The 19,437-nt window shown below is 46.1% G+C and overlaps 1 protein-coding gene and 1 long non-coding RNA gene across 10 annotated transcripts in view, besides 2 other annotated features; one reads left to right on the top strand and one right to left on the bottom strand.

Annotated features, from left to right (window-relative positions):
* The window catches only part of A2ML1-AS1 (A2ML1 antisense RNA 1), a 55,096-nt gene extending 50,677 nt beyond the window's left edge, over positions 1-4,419 (bottom strand). Inside the window, exon 1 of the long non-coding RNA NR_046715.1 lies at positions 3,775-4,419. This is a non-coding gene — a long non-coding RNA (A2ML1 antisense RNA 1). The remainder of the gene's footprint in view (positions 1-3,774) is intronic.
* The window catches only part of A2ML1 (alpha-2-macroglobulin like 1), a 64,839-nt gene that overhangs the window by 4,267 nt on the left and 41,135 nt on the right, over positions 1-19,437 (top strand). For 8 of the 9 annotated variants that reach the window (XR_931275.2, XR_001748594.2, XM_011520566.3 and 5 more), the window contains exons 4-14: positions 2,840-2,892; positions 7,775-7,795; positions 8,620-8,779; positions 9,368-9,452; positions 10,553-10,679; positions 11,449-11,563; positions 12,226-12,335; positions 14,482-14,649; positions 16,247-16,474; positions 18,555-18,615; positions 19,190-19,335. Coding sequence is in view for 7 of the 9 variants with exons in the window: in XM_011520566.3 (XP_011518868.1) it covers positions 2,840-2,892; positions 7,775-7,795; positions 8,620-8,779; positions 9,368-9,452; positions 10,553-10,679; positions 11,449-11,563; positions 12,226-12,335; positions 14,482-14,649; positions 16,247-16,474; positions 18,555-18,615; positions 19,190-19,335 (1,274 nt within the window). In the remaining 2 variants the exon portion in view is untranslated. Of the gene's footprint in view, positions 1-2,839; positions 2,893-7,774; positions 7,796-8,619; positions 8,780-9,367; positions 9,453-10,552; positions 10,680-11,448; positions 11,564-12,225; positions 12,336-14,481; positions 14,650-16,246; positions 16,475-18,116; positions 18,288-18,554; positions 18,616-19,189; positions 19,336-19,437 lie in introns of those variants that run through there. The other variant, NM_001282424.3, reaches the window with a different exon arrangement.
* Positions 1,483-2,225: an enhancer, noted in NCBI's record as "H3K27ac-H3K4me1 hESC enhancer chr12:8980966-8981708 (GRCh37/hg19 assembly coordinates)". NCBI's record gives its function as "activates a minimal SCP1, AML or CMV promoter by ChIP-STARR-seq in primed H9 embryonic stem cells {active_cell/tissue: H9 hESC(primed)}" and the evidence as "EXISTENCE:reporter gene assay evidence [ECO:0000049][PMID:30033119]".
* Positions 5,198-5,941: an enhancer, noted in NCBI's record as "H3K27ac-H3K4me1 hESC enhancer chr12:8984681-8985424 (GRCh37/hg19 assembly coordinates)". NCBI's record gives its function as "activates a minimal SCP1, AML or CMV promoter by ChIP-STARR-seq in primed H9 embryonic stem cells {active_cell/tissue: H9 hESC(primed)}" and the evidence as "EXISTENCE:reporter gene assay evidence [ECO:0000049][PMID:30033119]".

The raw sequence follows: 19,437 nt of genomic DNA on the forward strand, positions 1-19,437 counted from the left end.
GGGTTACACGCGTAAGCCACCACGTCTGTCTTCTTGCACTTTTAGGATTCTTTTTTGTTTTTTATTCCTTGATGTTTGGGAGTTTGATTATTAAATGTCTTGAGGTAGACTCATTTGGGCTAAATCTGCTTGGTGTTCTATAATCTTGTAATTAATATTGATATCTTTCTCAGCTGGGCTCAGTGGCTCATGCTTGTAATCCCAGCACTTTGGGAGGCTGAGGTGGGCAAATCACCTGAGATGAGTATTTCGAGACCAGCCTGGCCAACATGGCAAAACCCTGTCTCTACTAAAAATACCAAATTAGCCAAGCAAGGTGGCCTGTGCCTGTAATCCCAGCTACTGGGGAGGCTGAGGCAGGAGAATCACTTGAACCAGGGAGGCGGAGGTCACATGAGCCAAGATCACATTACTGCACTCCAGCCTGGGCAACAGAGCGAGACTGTCTCAAATAATAATAATATTGATATCTTTCTCTAGGTTTGGAAAGTTCTCTGTTATTTTCACTTTGAATAAACTTTCCATCTCATTTTCTCTCTCAACCTCCTCTTTAAAGTCAATACCTCTTTTTTTTTCTCTTTGTTAAATTTATCTGATAAGATTCTGAATTCTTTCTCTGTGTTATCTAAAATTTTGTTGAGTTTCCTCAAAACAGCTATTTTGAATTCTCGATCTGAAAGATCACTATCTTTGTTTCTGGGAGATTGGTTGCTGGTGCCTTATTTAGTTCATCTGGTGAGGTAATTTTTTCCAACATGGTCTTGATGTGGATGTTCATTGGTGTCTGGGCATTGAAGAGTTAGGTATTTATTGTAGTCTTGGCATTCTGGACTTGTTTGTACCTGTCCTCCTTGGGCAGACTTTCCAGGTATTTGAAGGGACTTGGGTGTCGTAATCTAAGTGTTTGGACTCTGCAGTTCATCTGCATTAGGGAGGACCCCATGCTCAGTATCTCTGTGGCTCTTGAAGGCTCATAGAGGTACCTCCTTGATGGTCTTGGATAAGATCTGGAAGAATTCCAGATTACCAGGAGGAGACTCCTGTTCTCTTCCCTTACTTTCTCCAAAACAAACAGAGTTTCTCTCTTTGTGCTGAGCTGCCTGGAGAGAGGGGTGACACAAGCACCCCTGTGGCCACCAGCATTGGGACTGCACTGGGTCAGATCTGAAGCCAGCACCGTACTGTGTCTCACCCAAGGCCTGTGGTAACCAGTACCTGGCTACTGCCCATGTTTGCTCAAGGCCCTAGGGCTCTACAGTCAGCAGGTGACAAAGCCAGCCAGGCTTGTGTCCTCCCCTTCAGGGTGGTGAGTTCCCCATGACCCTGGAAGGTCCAGAGATGTAATCTGCGAGCCAGGGCCTGGAGTCAGAAACCTTAGGAATCTACCTGGTGTTCTGTTCTACTGCAGCTGAGTTGGCACCCAAGCCATAAGACAAAGTCCTTCCCACTCTTCCTTCCCCTTTTCACAGAGGAGTCTCTCTCTGTGGCCACCACTACTCCAGGCCCACAGGAGTACTGCCTGGATACTTCCAGTATTCTCTCGAGGCCCAAAGTCTCCTTTCACCAGCTTGTGGTGAATGGTGCCTGGCCTGGGACTCTCTTTTCAGGGCAGTGAGCTCTCCTCTGACAAACAGCAGGTCCAGAAATGGCATCCAAGAGCCACAGCCCATAACTGGCGACCCCAAGGGCCTGCTTGGTGCTGTACCCCACTGTGGCTGAGCTGGTACCTAAGCTGCAAGACAAAGTCCCCTTGACTCTTCCCTCTCCTTTTCTCAAGTAGAAGGAGTCTCTCCCCATAGTCACCACAGCTGGGAATGTGCTGAATCACTGGAAGCCAGCATGTCTCTGAGTCTCACCCAAGGCCCACGACAAGTACTGCCCAGCTATCACTGCTGAGTATTTAGAGCCCCAGGGGCTAATCGGAACTCAGCTTCCAACCGCTGGGATGGGCAGTTCACCCCTGGCTAACGCTGGTCTAAATGCTCCCTCCATGGGCACTGGCTGAGTTCTGCCCTGTGTGCTTTCCCCTGTGATTGGGCAGCATTGCATTCTAAAGCCAAGTCCCACAGTCACTGTGCTCTCCCGCCCTCAAGCTCATCGATTCTGTCTCTGTACCACAGTCACTGCTGGGGGATGGCGGGGAGGGGGTGAATCAGCAATTCAAGTGTGTCTTTTCTACCCTCTTCAGTGCCTCTTTCAGTGATATAAAGTTAAAACCAGGCACTGTGATCACTCTTCTGATTTTTGGTTCTTATGACAGTGCTGTTTTGCGTGGGCAGTTGTTCAGTTTGGTGTTACTGTGGGGGATGAGGAGGGTGGTCAATGGAGGCTTCTATTCTGCCTCTTGCTCTGCCTCCTGAGCTCCAGGCCTGTGTTTGGACTTTACCTTACTCTCAGAGCAGGTTTTGTAAAAAAGTAAAACCTGTTGGGGTTTTGCTGACTCAGAGCATGTGTGAGGAAGGAGGAGGGATAGAGGAAAGATTCTGAGCAGGAGGCGGAGCGCGGTGGCTCACGCCTATAATCCCAGCACTTTGGGAGGCCAAGGCAGGTGGATCACCTGAGGTCAGGAGTTCATAGACCAGCCTGGCCAACATGGTGAAACCCTGTCTCTACAAAAATTAGCCAAGTGTGGTGGCACCTGCCTGTGGTCCCAGCTACTCCGGAGGCTGGGGTGGGAGAATCACTTGAGCCCAGGAGTTTGAGGCTGAAGTGAGCCACGGTTGTGCCACTGCACTCCAACCTGGGTGACAGAGTGAGACCCTGTATCAAAAAAAAAAAAAAAAAAAAAATTCTGAGCCAGGAAACATCCCCTTTGCTAATGATGCCTGTTCCTTTCCAGTGTATTTCCGCATTGTCACCATGGATAGCAACTTCGTTCCAGTGAATGACAAGGTGAGTTGGGAGGAGGAGAAGGAGTGGCGCAGGGAGAACAGGGAAAAGGATGAGAGATTCTCTAGGGTGGAAGTCCTCTCAGCCTGGGCGTGGCAAGGCGAGGCCCTCTGGGTTGGAGACTGCTGTGTGCGTGGGACTGGAAGTGCTGGGCGAGCTTCAGGGAGCTAGCCTAAATCAGCCTAGGAACAAGCAGAGGTAACCAGTTCTCAGCTTCAGTATCTACACATTCATCAGGTTCTTGAGAGATGGTTATGCTCCTTGTCATTTTATTTTATTTATTTGTTTATTTAGAGACAGAGTCTCGCTCTGTGGCCCAGGCTGGAGTGCAATGGCGTGACCTCAGCTCACTACAACCTCTGCCTCCTGGGTTTAAGCAATTCTCCTGCCTCGGCCTCCCAAATAGTTGGAATTACAGGCGCGCACCATCACGCCTGGCTAATTTTTGTATTTTTAGTAAAAACAGGGTTACATCATGTTGGCCAAGCTGGTCTCAAACTCCTGACCTCAAGTGTTCCACCCACCTCGGCCTCCCAAAGTGCTGGGATTACAGACAAGAGCCACCATGCTCAGCCCCCTTTCATTTTAAGAGTTTTCGCAAACTTCAAGACCTTTTCTTCAGGACTGACAAAAGCATTTTTTTTTTTAAGGCAGAAAGGAGAATGTCCGCTTCCACTCTGTTTCTATGAGGCAAAATAATTTACAAAGTAGGTAATTCTCTTAGGGCAACATTAAATAAATACATGCCAAAGCTTAAAATGTAGCAACATTTTGCGAATATTTGATTTTTCCTTGGACTCCCCATCCCTAGAATCATAAGCCTTACCACAGGTTTGATTTCAAGTTGGAGCATGTGTCATTTCTACATGCTTCTGAGACACTTACCTCCCGGACACCCCTGCTTTCTTCCTCTTCCGTCTGTCCCAGCCTGTGTATTCAAATGAAACTTTTAGAGATAAACATAGAGAAAGCATGATTTCCATTTTCCATCTCCGTGTTCTCAGAGCTGCTGTTTCCTTTCCCTATGTGCAGGGGAGTTATTAGCTTGTTATGATTGGTAATGCCCTACCCGCTACTCTCTTTCCCAATATAGATTTCCTTTTACTTCCTCCTTCCCATCACCTATGGCTTTTCTTTGGTAGGTATAACGTTGAGTACTTCTTACTTTTTTTTTTTTTTTTTAACATTTTAAGACAAGGTCTCATTCTGTCACCTAGGCTGGAGTGCAGTGGCAGTCATGGCTCACTGCAGCTTTGACCCTGCCCCGGGCTCAAGTAATCTTCCCATCTCAGTCTCCCCAGTAGCTGGGACCACAGGTGTGCACTACCACACCTGGCTAATTATTTTATTTTTTTGTAGAGTTGTGGGGGGCGGGGGTCTCACCTTGTTGCGCAGGCCGGTCTTGAGCTCCTGGCCTCTCTCGCTTTGGTCTCCCAAAGTGTTGGGATTATAGGCCTGAGCCACTGCACCCGGCCTGAGTGCTTACTTCTTAACAGACTGTTTTCTCTAGAGCTGCAACAAGGAAGTGCTGGGTTCAAAGCGTGGCCCGCAGCAGCACTATTTTAGACTCACTTACCCTCAGGGTTGATCTCATTAACTACCCCTGTTACGATTCAAATGAAGCGGGATTACTTCCAGGTGTTCTGTTTTCTGCAGTTAGGCTCTTTCTCTTGTGAAATTACTCCTTCCTCCCCACTCTATTTCTCCAGCCAAACTCTCCCTCCAAATTCAGTTGAAACACTGAGATTAACAAAAGGAATTTTACCAAGAAAGCTAGGATAAAAATTGTGTTTATGTAACCACCCAATGGGTTCACCTTGCCTGCTGCTTAGACAGGGTTGATTTATCGAGACAGGGGAATTGCAATGAAGAAAGAGTAACTCACCCAGAGCCGGCTGTGTGGGAGACTGGAGTTTTACTGTTACTCAAATCAGTCTCCCTGAGCATTTGGAAATCGAGTTTTTTTTTGTTTTTGTTTTTGTTTTTTTTTGAGACGGAGTTTCATTCTTGTTGCCCAGGCTGGAGTGCAATGGCGCGATCTCGGCTCGCCGCAACCTCTGCCTCCCAGGTTCAAGTGATTCTCCTGCCTCAGCCTCCCAAGTAGCTGGGATTACAGGCATGCGCCAACACGCCCGGCTAATTTTGGTACTTTTAGTAGAGACGGGGTTTCTTCATGTTGGTCAGGCTGTTCTTGAACTCCCGACCTCAAGTGATCCGCCCGCCTCGGCCTCCCAAAGTGCTGGGATTACAGGCGTGAGCCACCGCGCCTGGCCAGGAAATCGAGTTTTTAAAGATAATTTGGCAGGTAGGGGCTTGGGAAGTGGGGAGTGCTGATTGGTCAGGTTGGAGATGGAGTCATAGATGGTCAAAGTGAGGTTTTCTTGCTGTTTTCCTCCTCCTGGGTGGGATGGCAGAACTGGTTGAGCCAGATTACTGGTCTGGGTGGTGTCAGCTGATCCACTGAATGCAGGGTCTGCAGAACATCTCAGGCGCTGATCTTGGGTTTTACAACAGTGATGTTCTCCCCAGGAGCAATTTGAAGAGGTTCAGACTCTTGGAGTCAGAGGCTGCATGACCCCTAAAGTGTAATTTCTAATCTTGTAGCTAATTTGTTAGTCCTGCAAAGGCAGACTGGTCCCCGGGCAAGAAGGGGGTCTTTTTGGGAAAGGGCTGTTATCAATTTTGTTTCAGAGTCAAACCATGAACTGAATTCCTTCCCAAAGTTAGTCTGGCTTACACCCAGGAATCCACAAGGACAGCTTACAAGTTAGAAGCAAGATGGAGTCGGTTAGGTCTGACATCTTTCACTTTCATAGTTTCCTCAGTTATAATTTTGCAAAGGCGGCTTCAGTCCCTCCCTTTGGGTTTTATAACACCTTAATCTTCAGGTGTGGGCTAGGAAGATGGGAAAAGGCTGTCGATTGTTCTGGCTTCTTCCTGCTGAGAGGGGGCGTAGTGAGGGTACCTAAGGTGAGAGGAGTGGAACTGCTTAGAAGCAAGATAGCGTTGGTTAGGTCTGATTTCTTTCACTGTCATCGTTTCCTCAGTTTTAATTTTGCAAAGTCAGTTTCATTTACACAGCACAATATTTAATCCCCAAACAAGTAAAGTAAGCCTGATATTAACTGACCCTGTCTAACTTGATTGCTATACTCAGTTATTCAGAAACTCCAGGCAACTTCCAGTCGGAAATGCTACTTTCCTTTTTTTTTTTTGAGACGGAGTTTCGCTGCGTTGCCCAGGTTGGAGTGCAGTAGCGGGATCTCAGCTCACTGCAACCTCCCCCTCCTGGGTTCAAAGGATTCTCCCGCCTCAGCCTCCCAAGTAGTTGGGTTTACAGGAATGTACCACCACATCTGGCTAATTTTGTATTTTTAGTAGAAATGTGGTTTTACCATGTCGGTCAGGCTGGTCTCAAACTCCTGACCTCAGGTGATCTGCCCACCTCAGCCTCCCAAAGTGCTGGGATTATGGGCGTGAGCCACCATGCCTGGCCTCAGCAATGCTACTTTCCTAGTGAAACACTTATTTTCTTCCAGAGCCTATTTCTGGCCAACTGATGTCTTTCCTGATTCTTGATCCCTGTGTGAGAAAAGTACTTTGTTATCGAAGTGTTTTTTGTTGTTGTTGTTTTGTATTTTGTTTTTGAGTTACTTTGTCACCCAGGCTGGAGTGCAGTGGCATGATCCCGGCTCAAGCAACCTCCACTGTCCGGGTTCAAGTGATTCTTCTGCCTCAGCCTCCGGAGTAGCTGGGGTTACAGGCATGTGCCACCATGTCCGGCTAATTTTTGTATTTTTAGTAGAGAGGGGTTTCACCATGTTGGCCAGGCTGGTCTTGAACTCCTAACCTCAGGTGATCCAACCGCCACAGCCTCCCAAAGTGCTGGGATTACAGGTGTGAGCCACCGTGTCTGGCCTAAAGAAGTGTTTGTTTGTTTTGTTTTGTTTTGACTTTATGGAAATTTATAGCAATCTTAGTGATATTCTCCTCCTGATGTTTATATAGCCCAGGTTTGTGGAAGTCCTAGCTCATCGTGATCCTTAGATCTCCTTATTTTTTGCTTTTTTTGAAGAATTGCCATTATCCCTACTATCAAGGCTGATATTTGTATTTAGTGGTTCAGCTTCTTCACTGGTTGGCATCACATGACACTTGGCCCAAGAATAAAAAAATCAAGGACTGTCTTGATTTCATTTTCTTCTTTCCAAGTTAGATCCAAACTGGTCTTCTCTTTTGAATACCTTTGCAGTCTCTCTGAGCCCCTCTCCTGCTATTCACTGAATTCCAGCTTTCAATCTCATCTAGTTGCAAGCACAATGACCTGTTCCTCACAAACTTAATGGTTTCACATCTATTTAGCAACTACTGTCTTGAGGAAAGTGATACATGATTCTCCAATGGAACTATTTCAAACAATTTTAAAAATAATTATTTGCAATGCTTGAAAGTAAGCTTCCTGCCCACAAGCATTCAGATGGTAAAGGAAGAAGCCAGGAGATGGTTGGCTACCAAGAAGAGGTTTAAACATTGAGGAACCCCCTGGTGCTAATACTTCTTTTAGGGCATGTTTCTTGTGCAAGAGCTCAGTCACAGGGTACTGAGACTGGTCTGACGCTCCAGTTCTTCAAATCTTTTGGAGACTGGCAATTCCTTTGAGATTCCTGCCCCCACTCTTACCCTCCTCCTGCCTTGTTTCCCTCCCAAGAAGTCTGTGCCCCCATTGTTATTCTTTTCAGGGCACAAAAGAGCCATTTAGAAAGGAAGAAATGAAGAAATGGGCAAGAGGGAAAGGAAGAATTCTTTGTGAACTTTTGCTTTCAGCAAACTTATTCTTATTGCTGTCAACCTTCTTTAACCCGCATTATCTGGTTTTCCTTTTCAGTACTCCATGGTGGAACTACAGGTAAGCGGAAGTTTCTTTCTCTTCTCTGTCAGTTGTGGAAGAGGAAGAATGAGAATTTGGTGGTACACCTTGAAGACAGAAGCAACTCTGAGATCTTGGCCCAGAGCCCCATGACTCTGCCCAGCACCGAGCGCCCACATCCACCTAAGCTGTGCCTGCTTTCTTGCCTCTGCCCTCCTAGTCTCTCACACCTACATTTCAGTAGACAAGGACACCAGCCTCTGTAATGACTACACCGCTCTCTCATTCCCCTAACTTCTCTGTGCCCAGATGACTTAACCAGGCTTGGTTCCATACTCCCCTTAGTGTAAGGTAATAGCCCTTGCCATAGGCATTCTCAACAGGTACGTGATAACATAAACACCTGTGAGAAGTATTTTAAAGGAAAGGCTCTAGAAGGTGATTTCTCCACAATATCTTCTCCATTTTTCCATTAAATCACCCATGTTTTAGGTATCTTACAATCAATCTCCTCAGCCTTGTCCCCTAATAGTGACCAGAAACAGAGTAAACATTCTTTGTAAATGACATCCTGGGTCCTACTTTCTAAAACTGGAGATAACACTTTAGAGGGCTCAGTCTGATCATTAAAATCCACAAGATTTCCTACCAAATGGGGGCTGGATCTATAGAAATATTTACCTCATTCCGCCATAAAGAAAGTTATAAATAACACAGGGAGCTGCTCTTCCTGGACACAGACCACAGGGGTCATGAACAATGGGTGGGGTTTTTTACCTGCCTTTTGCTTCTTTACCTGCTTTTTGCAATGCAGAGTGGGAAGCAAACGGGCAGGCACATCATGCAGTTTCTCTATTGGACAGGATCCAAATAGCAACAGGATTGCACAGTGGCTGGAAGTGGTACCTGAGCAAGGCATTGTAGACCTGTCCTTCCAACTGGCACCAGAGGCAATGCTGGGCACCTACACTGTGGCAGTGGCTGAGGGCAAGACCTTTGGTACTTTCAGTGTGGAGGAATATGGTAGGTGGGGAAATGGACAGGCCAAAGTATTGGGCATAATCTCATCTTAAAATCAGCAAAGGTGGAGCCGGGCGCAGTGGCTCACGCCTGTAATCCCAGGACTTTGGGAGGCCGAGGCGGGCAGATCATGAGGTCAGGAGATCGAGACCACCCTGGCTAACACAGTGAAACCCTGTCTCCACTAACAATACAAAAAATTAGCCGGGCGTGGTGGCAGGTGCCTGTAGTCTCAGCTACTCGGGAGGCTGAGGCAGGAGAATGGCGTGAACCTGGGAGGTGCAGCTTGCAGTGAGCTGACATCACGCCACTGCACTCCAGCCTGGGTGACAGAGCAAGACTCCGTCTCAAAAAAAAAAAAAAAAAAAAAATCAGCAAAGGTGGAGTAAAATGTACTCTGGGAAAGGATTATTTACTCATTTTTGAATCGATGCTGAACCAGCTAATTACTTCAGGAACATGCTACCTAAATAATGCCTCCTTCATTAGATCCATTAATTTAATTCTCACTGTTTATACCCCTCTGCTCACTGCCTGTCTGACTGATTCCTCCTCCAGTGCTTTCTCCATTTCTCCTTTTACTCTCTTCAGTGCTGCCGAAGTTTAAGGTGGAAGTGGTGGAACCCAAGGAGTTATCAACGGTGCAGGAATCTTTCTTAGTAAAAATTTGTTGTAGGTAAGAGCAGAAGCTTGGGATCTGGTGGAGATTAAAGATGCATCGAGAGACATGATGAGGGGATGACATGGGATGTGGGATTATGGGTGGGCCAAAACTTGGGGCATTTTATGTAATTCAGAGTCATGGCTTATCCAAGACCTTTTTTTTTTTTTTTTTTTGAGACAAAGTCTCACTCTTGTTTCCCAGGCTGGAGTGCAATCACGTGATCTCGGCTCACTGCAACCTCCGCCTCATGGGTTCAAGCGATTCTCCTGCCTCAACCTCTAGAGTAGCTGGGATCACAGGCGCGCGCCACCATGCCTGGCTAATGTTTGTATTTTTAGTAGAGATGGGATTTCGCCGTGTTGGCCAGGCTGGTCTCGGACTCCTGACCTCAGGTGATCCGCCCACCTTGGCCTCCCAAAGTGTTGGATTACAGACGTGAGCCACCGCGCCCAGCCAAGAACATATTTTATAGTTGTGTTTCTGCTGTTTTTTTCCATTGCTCACTCAGATAGTATTATTGATTTAGTCTTTACAAGACACAATATTGAATCCCATAGATAAATATGGATCAGGAGAAAGAAAGATACTGTTTCCGTCCTTAGTATGGTGCTAATTGTGGAAGTGGGTCTACTCTAAGACTCTGAGTAAAGTAGGGAAGGGGAAGAGAGCTAGAGAAAGGTAGGATTGTCAGAGCTTGCTTTCTTCTTTTTTTTGAGACAGAGTCTCTGTCACGCAGGCTGGGGTGCAGTGGGGAGATCTCAGCTCACTGCAACCTCTGTCTCCCAGGTTCAAGCGATTCTCCTGCCTCTTCCTCCCGGAGAAGCTGGGATTACAGGTGTGAGCCACCATGCCCAGCAAATTTTTGTATTTTTAGTAGAGACAGGATCTTGCCATGTTGCCTAGGCTGGTCTTGAACCCCTGGCCTCAAGTAATACACCTGTCTCGGCCTCCCAAAGTGCTGGGATTACAGGCGTGAGCCACTGCACTGGCCCAGATTGTCAGAGCTTTCTTTCAGAGGCTGGAGTGTGAGAGGGAAGAAGTGGTGTTTGAGGGAAGAGTTGGATCTCAAGTGGAATTTCCCAACTCTGACTCCTTATGCTTTTCTTGGTTAGGTACACCTATGGAAAGCCCATGCTAGGGGCAGTGCAGGTATCTGTGTGTCAGAAGGCAAATACTTACTGGTATCGAGAGGTGGAACGGGAACAGCTTCCTGACAAATGCAGGAACCTCTCTGGACAGGTGAGTAAATGACAGGTTAAAAAGGAACCTATCGGCCAGGCACGGTGGCTCACGCCTGTCATCCCAGCACTTTGGGAGGCCGAGATGGGCGGATCACGAGGTCAGGAGTTTGAGACCAGCCTGACCAATATGGGGAAACCCCGTCTCTATTAAAAATTCAAAAAATTGGCTGGGCATGGTGGTGTGCACCTGAAATCCCAGCTACTTGGAGGCTGAGACAGGAGAATCACTTGAACCCGGGAGGCGGAGGTTGCAATGAGCCGAGATGGTGCCACTGCACTCCAGCGTGGGTGACAGAGCAACACTCAGTCCCCCTCCCCCACCGAAAAAAAAAAAAAAAAAAGAACGTATCCACATGTCCTAAAGCGTAAGGAAGCAACAATCTAGAAAAGAGCTAAACAGCCCAAAGTAGAAAGCATTTCCCAGAATTATCATCCCAGTTCCAAAGAACAAAGCAGGGATCTTTATCCTAAACAGGGAGTGTTTTAGAGTCTGCCTTGGAACCAAGAAATTGACCTAAACCCCAGTAAGGTACAATTTTCCAGTTTTGAAGGCATTTCTTTTTCCCTTTCCCAAATCTTGGAGCTTCAAAGTCATTTCATGATTATCTATGTGCAAGTGTATACTTCATGTTGTAGGAGAGTTTTTCTATATTAGAAACTGAAGTGTGGAGATGAGAAATTATTTCCTTCTACAGAACATTATAAAATGGATGTAGAGATTAGATTCCTCATCTGCTCTCTATCTCTGTCTCTGATCACCTCACTAGACTGACAAAACAGGATGTTTCTCAGCACCTGTGGACATGGCCACCTTTGACCTCATTGGATATGCGTACAGCCATCAAATCAATATTGTGGCTACTGTTGTGGAGGAAGGGACAGGTAAGTAGGGTGCTCCTTGGCTCATTAAGAAAAGAGAAAGAAAAAGGGCTGGTCCCAGGGACAGATTTACTCCAAGTATACAAGACCTACCCTCTTGAGTGTTTGGATGGTACCTTGTTCCTAGTTCATAGTCAAGGGGAAATACCAGATCCCATCTTGCCATCTATAAGAAATACTACGGGCCGGGCATGGTGGCTCACGCCTGTAATGCCAGCACTTTGGGAGGCCGAGACGGGCAGATCACGAGGTCAGGAGATCGAGACCATCCTGGCTAACACGGTGAAACCCTGTCTCTACTAAAAATACAAAAAATTAGCCGGGCATGGTGACGGGGGCGCCTGTAGTCCCAGCTACTCGGGGAGGCTGAGGCAGGAGAATGGCGTGAACCCAGGAGGTGGAGCTTGCAGTGAGCCGAGATCGTGCCACTGCACTCCAGCCTGGGCAACAGAGCGAGACTCCATCTTAAAAAAAAAAAAAAAAAAAAAAGAAGAAATACTACATACTTCTCCAAAAGATTGGGGAGGTGAGGTTGGTTTGGATCTTTGGCCAGAAATACATTCAACTTCATCCCTCTGCCACCATTCTCTCAGAGACTTGACATTAAACGTGAAGATGAGAATATCAGGTGCCTAGATCTTTATACATCTGGTTTCCCTCTGCAGGTGTGGAGGCCAATGCCACTCAGAATATCTACATTTCTCCACAAATGGGATCAATGACCTTTGAAGACACCAGCAATTTTTACCATCCAAATTTCCCCTTCAGTGGGAAGGTATGTTAAAACTTTTCTCTGCATAGACAAAAAAATGCATAACCATCTACTTTGCCTCCTTCCTGCAGCCATAGCCACATAGCTAACTTAGTGCTGTTCCAAGTACTTTATGTGTATTCATTTTAATCTTTAGAATAATGCAATGAGGCAGGCACTGTATTGGCCCCATTTTATGGATACTGAGACAGGCAACAGAGGCTAAGTGATTTTTCCAAGGTGATCACAAATAGATGGGAACTATGACCAAATCCAGGAAGCCTGCCTCCCGGGTATACACTCTCCACTCCCTGTACTCTGCTGCCCCAATCCCATAGAAGAAGTGCCTTGAATATTAATGACACCTTAGGGGTCTTTCTAATGCCAGGGGCTGATCTTCTAATGTCTAAATCTTCATATTTAAGAGCTGCAGGGTTTCTAGAGAAATCATCCAGCCTGGTCTCCTGCATCTAGGCAAGGTTAATATGAAACTTTCCTTGACAGCCATGTATAGCTCTGTAAGCAATTTTGTTTTTCTTTCTGTTTTTGTTTTGTTTTGTTTTGTTTTGAGACAGTCTCGCTCTTGTTGCCCAGCCTGAAGTGCAATGGCGCGATCTCTGTTCACCGCAACCTCCACCTCCCAGGTTCAAGCGATTCTCCTGTCTCAGCCTCCTGAGTAGCTGGGATTACAGACATGTGTCCCCATGCCTGGCTAATTTTGTATTTTTAGTAGAGATGGGGTTTCTCCATGTTGGTCAGGCTGGTCTTGAACTCCCGACCTCAGGTGATCCGTCCACCTGGGCCTCCCAAAGTGCTGGGATTACAGGAGTGAGCCACTGTGCCTGACTAGCAATTTTCTTTAGAGATTTTAAAATTTCCGGCAGGGCGTGGTGGCTCACGTCTGCAGTCCTAGCACTTTGGGAGGCTGAGGTGGGCAGATCACTTGAGGCCAAGAGTTCGAGACCAGCCTGGCCAACATGGCGAAAACTTGTCTCTGCTAAAAATACAAAAATTAGCCAGGCATGGTGGCGCATGCCTATAATCCCAGCTACTCGGGAGTCTGAGGCACGAGAATGGCTTGAACACAGGAGGCAGGGGGTGCAGTGAGCTAAGATCATGCCACTGCACTCCAGCCTGGGCGATAGAGCGAGACTGTCTCAAAAAAAAAAAAAAAAGATAAATACATAATTAAATTTTCTTTGCTAGTGTTTTCTTTCTGATATCTAACTGAATTTCTCTCTTGTTCAGCTTATCTTTCTTTACTTCTTGTACAGCTGGTCCACACAATAATATTGCACACATAGAGATGCATTTATTCCTCAGTTATCATTTCTCTAGACCAAGGGTGGGTGCAAATTATTTTTAGAGCCTAAGGATTACACAGTTTGGGAGGGTAGGGGATTCGCTTTAAGAAAAAGAAAGCAAAATAGGCTGGGCACAATGGCTCATGCCTGTAATCTCAGCACTTTGGGAGGCTGAGGCGGGCGAATCACGAGGTCAGGAGTTCGAAACCAGCCTGACCAACATGGTGAAAACCCGTCCCTGCTAAAAATACAAAAATTAGCCAGGTATGGTGGCACGGGCCTATAGTCCCACTACTTGGGAGGCTGAGGCAGGAGAATCGCTTGAACCCAGGAGGTAGAGGTTGCAGTGAGCTGAGCTCGTCCCACTGCACTCCAGCCTGGGCGACAGACTGAGACTCCATCTCAAAAAAAAAAAGAAAGAAAGGAAGGAAGAAAGGAAGGAAAGAAGGAAGGAAGGAAGGAAAGAAGGAAGGAAAGAAGGAAGGAAGGAAGGAAGGAAGGAAGGAAGGACGGAAGGAAGGAAGGAAGGAAGGAAAGAAAAAAGAAAGCAAAACAACGTGCAGAACCTTTGAAGGAGCCTGTGCATATGAAGAGCCCTGAAGCTTCATTAGCCACCGGGCAAATCTAGCTCTGCTCTGGGCTGTTACTTCTGTTTGTTTTTCGGTTCCTCACAGATCCTAGTTCAAAAGCTTGAATCACATTTATCTTTTTCAGGACTCTTTCCTGAAATGTATTCTTAGAAATTCTGTTATTACTTTTAGTGCCAAAAACCACAATTAGTTTGCACCAACCTAATATTTCACTTTACCTCATACTCAAGCTTACTCCAAACCTAATTCTAATCCGTAATGATCTTTGTCCTTCAGATAAGAGTTAGGGGCCATGATGACTCCTTCCTCAAGAACCATCTAGTGTTTCTGGTGATTTATGGCACAAATGGAACCTTCAACCAGACCCTGGTTACTGATAACAATGGCCTAGCTCCCTTTACCTTGGAGACATCCGGTTGGAATGGGACAGACGTTTCTCTGGAGGTAAGCATGGACGGAGGACCAGCTTCCTAGAAAGGAAGGCTTCCCTGAAGGAAAACTTCAGAATTTTCCTGTTTCCTATTCTCCCCTCTGCTTGGAATTACATCTTTCTCACTCACAAGTCCTGCTCTCCCGTTGACAAAAAGTTTTCCTTAGATGCTTTCTGTTTTTAATATCAATCAAATAAATAGTCCTTACTTGGATGAAAACTACTATTTCTACTAATACATCTTTTAACTTACCCCCATCTCTATCTGATCCTATCTATATATGAAGTTAGAGCAGGGAGGAATAGGTGACTCAGAGTCTTTTTCTTTCTCTTTCCCCTTCCCATCCCCTCATTACTTAATAAAAACAGCAAACAAGAGAACTCTAGATTCTAGATAACTTATAAGTATCAATTATCAACTGCCACAACAATGCTTCTTATCAAACAGCTACAAACTTCAGTATCGTGCAGCAGAAAGCATTCACTGCTTGTGCATCTGGGGCATTCAGTCAGGCAGCTCTGCTGATTTCGATTTCCAGAACTGTCTGCAGATCGGCTGGCCATAAGCTGCTGCTCCGCATGCCTCTCATGCAGGAGCCAGCTAGCCCAGGTATATTCTTATGGCAGTGATGAGGTGCAAGTGCAAAAGCTGATGTTCAGGGCTTTTCCAAACCTCTGTATATTGCATATGTTTTTTTCTTTTTTTTTTTTTTGAGACAGAGTCTCACTCTGTCACCCAGGCTGGAGTGCAGTGGCGTGATCTCGGCTCACTGCAAGCTCCGCCTCCCCGGTTCACGCCATTCTCCTGCCTCAGCCTCCCCGAGTAGCTGGGACTACAGGCGCCTGCCACCACGCCCGGCTAATTTTTTGTATTTTTTAGTAGAGATGGGGTTTCACTGTGTTAGCCAGGATGGTCTCGATCTCCTGACCTCGTGATCCGCCCGCCTTGGCCTCCCAAAGTGCTGGGATTACAGGCGTGAGCCACCGCGCCCGGCCCCTGTTGCATATGTTAACACCCCTTTCCCAACAAATCGAACAGTGGGCACAGACTAGGAGGGTACTGGAAGACCACATGCTCAAGGATGCTGATCTCGGAGGGGGCGGGGTGCGTGTGAGGAATTGGAGCCATTAATGAGATCGTTCAACCTCAGGACTTAAGCAAACACATACTACTTGCCTTGTGGCTAATTTGACTATTTCTTTACTCTAGGCATGACTCAGTTACTCAGAAATAATTATTTTTCAATCTTAGTGTCTTCTGTGCCTAGTTTTCTTATCCCTGAAATATAATCTTTGATTTCTATATAATCTAAGTCACGTTCATCTATCCCAGGAATATCTGTGAAGATACATCACCCACAATTTCCTCTCATTTAGTAACTATAATTCAGCCCTTCTGTCGCTCTCCTACATACCAAAATATTGCTGTACACAGCTACGTTTATGGATTCTTTATCCATCCTTGGCTGGACCGCTAATGAAATACCCACATGCCATTCTCAGGCAGTGAAGATTTGAGAGAAAGAGCTCTATTTGAAAACCGTAACAAGTCCGTGGGGTTTCCATGGTTGGAGCACATGCTAAAATTCTCTCTCTCTCTTTTATTCTCAGGGAAAGTTTCAAATGGAAGACTTAGTATATAATCCGGAACAAGTGCCACGTTACTACCAAAATGCCTACCTGCACCTGCGACCCTTCTACAGCACAACCCGCAGCTTCCTTGGCATCCACCGGCTAAACGGCCCCTTGAAATGTGGCCAGCCCCAGGAAGTGCTGGTGGATTATTACATCGACCCGGCCGATGCAAGCCCTGACCAAGAGATCAGCTTCTCCTACTATGTGAGACCGGGAAACGGGGACGGGTGAGAGTATGCTGGGAAGGAAAGAGAATGAGAAGAGTCAGCCAGAGGGTGCACCTAGGCTATCTGAATTGCAGATGCACATCTAATTAAAAACAATTTTAAAGCCACACTAAAAAAGTAAAAGAACAGTTGACATTAATTTTAAATGTATTTTTTATTTAACCCATTATATCCAAAATATTAACATTTTAACACGAAAGCCATATAAAAAGTTTTAATAGATATTTTACATTCTTGTTTCAACGGTGTCTTTGAAACTCAGTATGTATTTTACACTTAAAGCGTATCTCAGTTTGGACTGAGCACATTTCAAGTATTCAATATTCCTTTTTTTTTCTTTTTTTTTTTTTTTGAGACACAGTCTCGCTCAGTTGCCCAGGCTGGAGTGCAGTGGTGTGTTCTTGGCTCACTGCAAGCTCCACCTCCCAGGTTCACGCCATTCTCCTGTCTCAGCCTCCCAAGTAGCTGGGACTACAGGCGCCCGCCACCACGCCCAGCTAATTTTTTTTGTATTTTTAGTAGAGACGGGGTTTCACCATGTTAACTAGGATGGTCTCGATCTCCTGACCTCGTGATCCACCTGCCTCAGTCTCCCAGAGTGCTGGGATTACAGGCATGAGCCACCGCGCCCGGCCTCAAGTATTCAATATTCCTATGTGGCTATGAGATACTGCATGGCCCAGTATAGGTGTAAGAGATGGAAAACATTGGGGGAAGAAAGAGATTCTGAGCAGGAACACAGGAAAATTGTGTGGGAAAATAAAATGAGGAATTACCTGAGAAAATAGTGCTGGCCAGGACCAAAAAAAACAAAAACAAAAACAAAACCAGCTGGGTGGTTGGGAGGGAGAGTGGGGAGGGATGGGACTCAGGATACTTTTTTTTTTTTTTTAATTTATATGAGACAGGGTTTCGCCATGTTGGCCAGGCTGGTCTTGAACTCCTGACCTCAGGTGATCTGCCCACCTTGGCCTCCCAAAGTGCTGGGACTGCAGGCATGAGCCACCGAGCCCAGCCAGGATACATTTCATTCTGTGTTCCATTGGTCAATATTATCAAATAGATGATATGGGGTTAAATTCACATCGATAGCAGCCTCATTGGGGAAATAAAATCATAACTTGGTAGCCTGAAAGCAATGTATAAGGATAAGCAGCTTTCCTGTCACCTTGGTGACAGTCAGGAAGTAGAATGGAAACCTCAGGTTTGATGGCTCGGAGCCTCTTTGTTCCGTTATCCTCCTGTCAGTCTATGAGAGACTTTCTCCCCTCTGGATCATTGCAGTAGCTTCCATGGTTTCAGTGTTGTCGTTAAGTGAAAAAAAAAAAATCATCCTAATACAACGAAAAGAGAAAAGATAGGTGGAAAATAACAAGTCCAGTGATAAAGCGGGCTCTGTCTTCAGGACCGAAGTGTGGGGAGGTGTAGGACAAAAGTGAAGTTAGGGCCGAGCCACGTGGAATGGCTAATGCTGGGCAGGCGTCCAAGGAACCGACCTTGGAGCCCTGCAGGAGCGTGGGATGAGAGCCTGCTTGCAAACAAGATCACCGAGTTCTGTTTCAAGTGAGAGTGGACGGGAAGGGGGAGTTAGAAGAGGAGATTTCTCCTCTAGAGGGTTCAATGTCAGAAGGGCTCAGGGTGGTTTAGGATGAAATTATTTCCACTGAATTTTAAATTGAGCTGTAATTAAAAAACACTTATGAGGATAGATTTTCGCTGACTTTCTGTTACAAAGATTATAAGAAAATAAAATTTGGAGATCTTCAAGAAATGGCAGACAGTTATCTATGGTGAGGAACAATTTCTATGCTGTCAGACTCCTCCCATCCACCTGCGTGGTTCTCAGCCAGACCTCCAACTGCAGGAGGAGCCACCAGGACCCGTTGGCAGCATCCTGCATTTGTCAAGCTAGTGGATGCTGGGTGAGGTATTGACCCGGACTCTGAACTGTGAAAGGAACCTCTCCTCATGAAGGGATGCAGAGATGCTCTGGAAGTTGGTCCAAGGTGAAATTACTGTAACTTCTGTGCAGTTGATTCTTTTCTTTTCTTCTTTAGTTAATAGGGAAAGGAAGTTTGGTGATGGAGGGGCAGAAACACCTGAACTCTAAGAAGAAAGGTGAGTGTACATGCTTTTCCCGGAAGCAAACAGGATATTTTTAAATTCCAGAAAACAATTCTTGGCCAGGCGCGGTGGCTCATGCCTGTAATCCCAGCACTTTGGGAGGCCGAGGTGGGCGGATCACGATGTCGGGAGATCGAGACCATCTTGGCTAACATGGTGAAACCCCGTCTCTACTAAAAATACAAAAAAAAATTAGCCGGACGTCGGGGCGGGCCCCTGTAGTCCCAGCTACTCGGGAGGCTGAGGCAGGAGAATGGCGTGAACCCGGGAGGCGGAGCTTGCAGTGAGCCGAGATCATGCCACTGCGCTCCAGCCTGGGCGACAGAGCGAGACTCCGTCTCAAAAAAAAAAAAAAATAAATAAAATAAAATAAAATAAAATAAAAAAATTCTTATCCACAGAAGTAATGGAATTGGAGCACTAACAGTTATCACAGGAGAAGAGAAAAATGAGAAGTAACTTGCACCATGGTGCCTGCACTGGCTCAGTGAAAAGTACATATGGTTAGATGCCGTTGGCAGGTGAATGTGCATTCTGATTTTCCTGTATATTCCCTCTTCTCTTTCAGGACTGAAAGCCTCCTTCTCTCTCTCACTGACCTTCACTTCGAGACTGGCCCCTGATCCTTCCCTGGTGATCTATGCCATTTTTCCCAGTGGAGGTGTTGTAGCTGACAAAATTCAGTTCTCAGTCGAGATGTGCTTTGACAATCAGGTAAAATGATAGCGGAGAAGGGTGAAGATAAAAGTTGGGCATAGAGAAAGATCTTGTGTGTGCTGCGGTTGGAAACAAGACAAGTCAGGGAAAGAAGATAGT

This window comes from Homo sapiens, chromosome 12 (assembly GCF_000001405.40).
Source record: "Homo sapiens chromosome 12, GRCh38.p14 Primary Assembly".
In the NCBI taxonomy this organism is placed as follows: domain Eukaryota; kingdom Metazoa; phylum Chordata; class Mammalia; order Primates; family Hominidae; genus Homo; species Homo sapiens.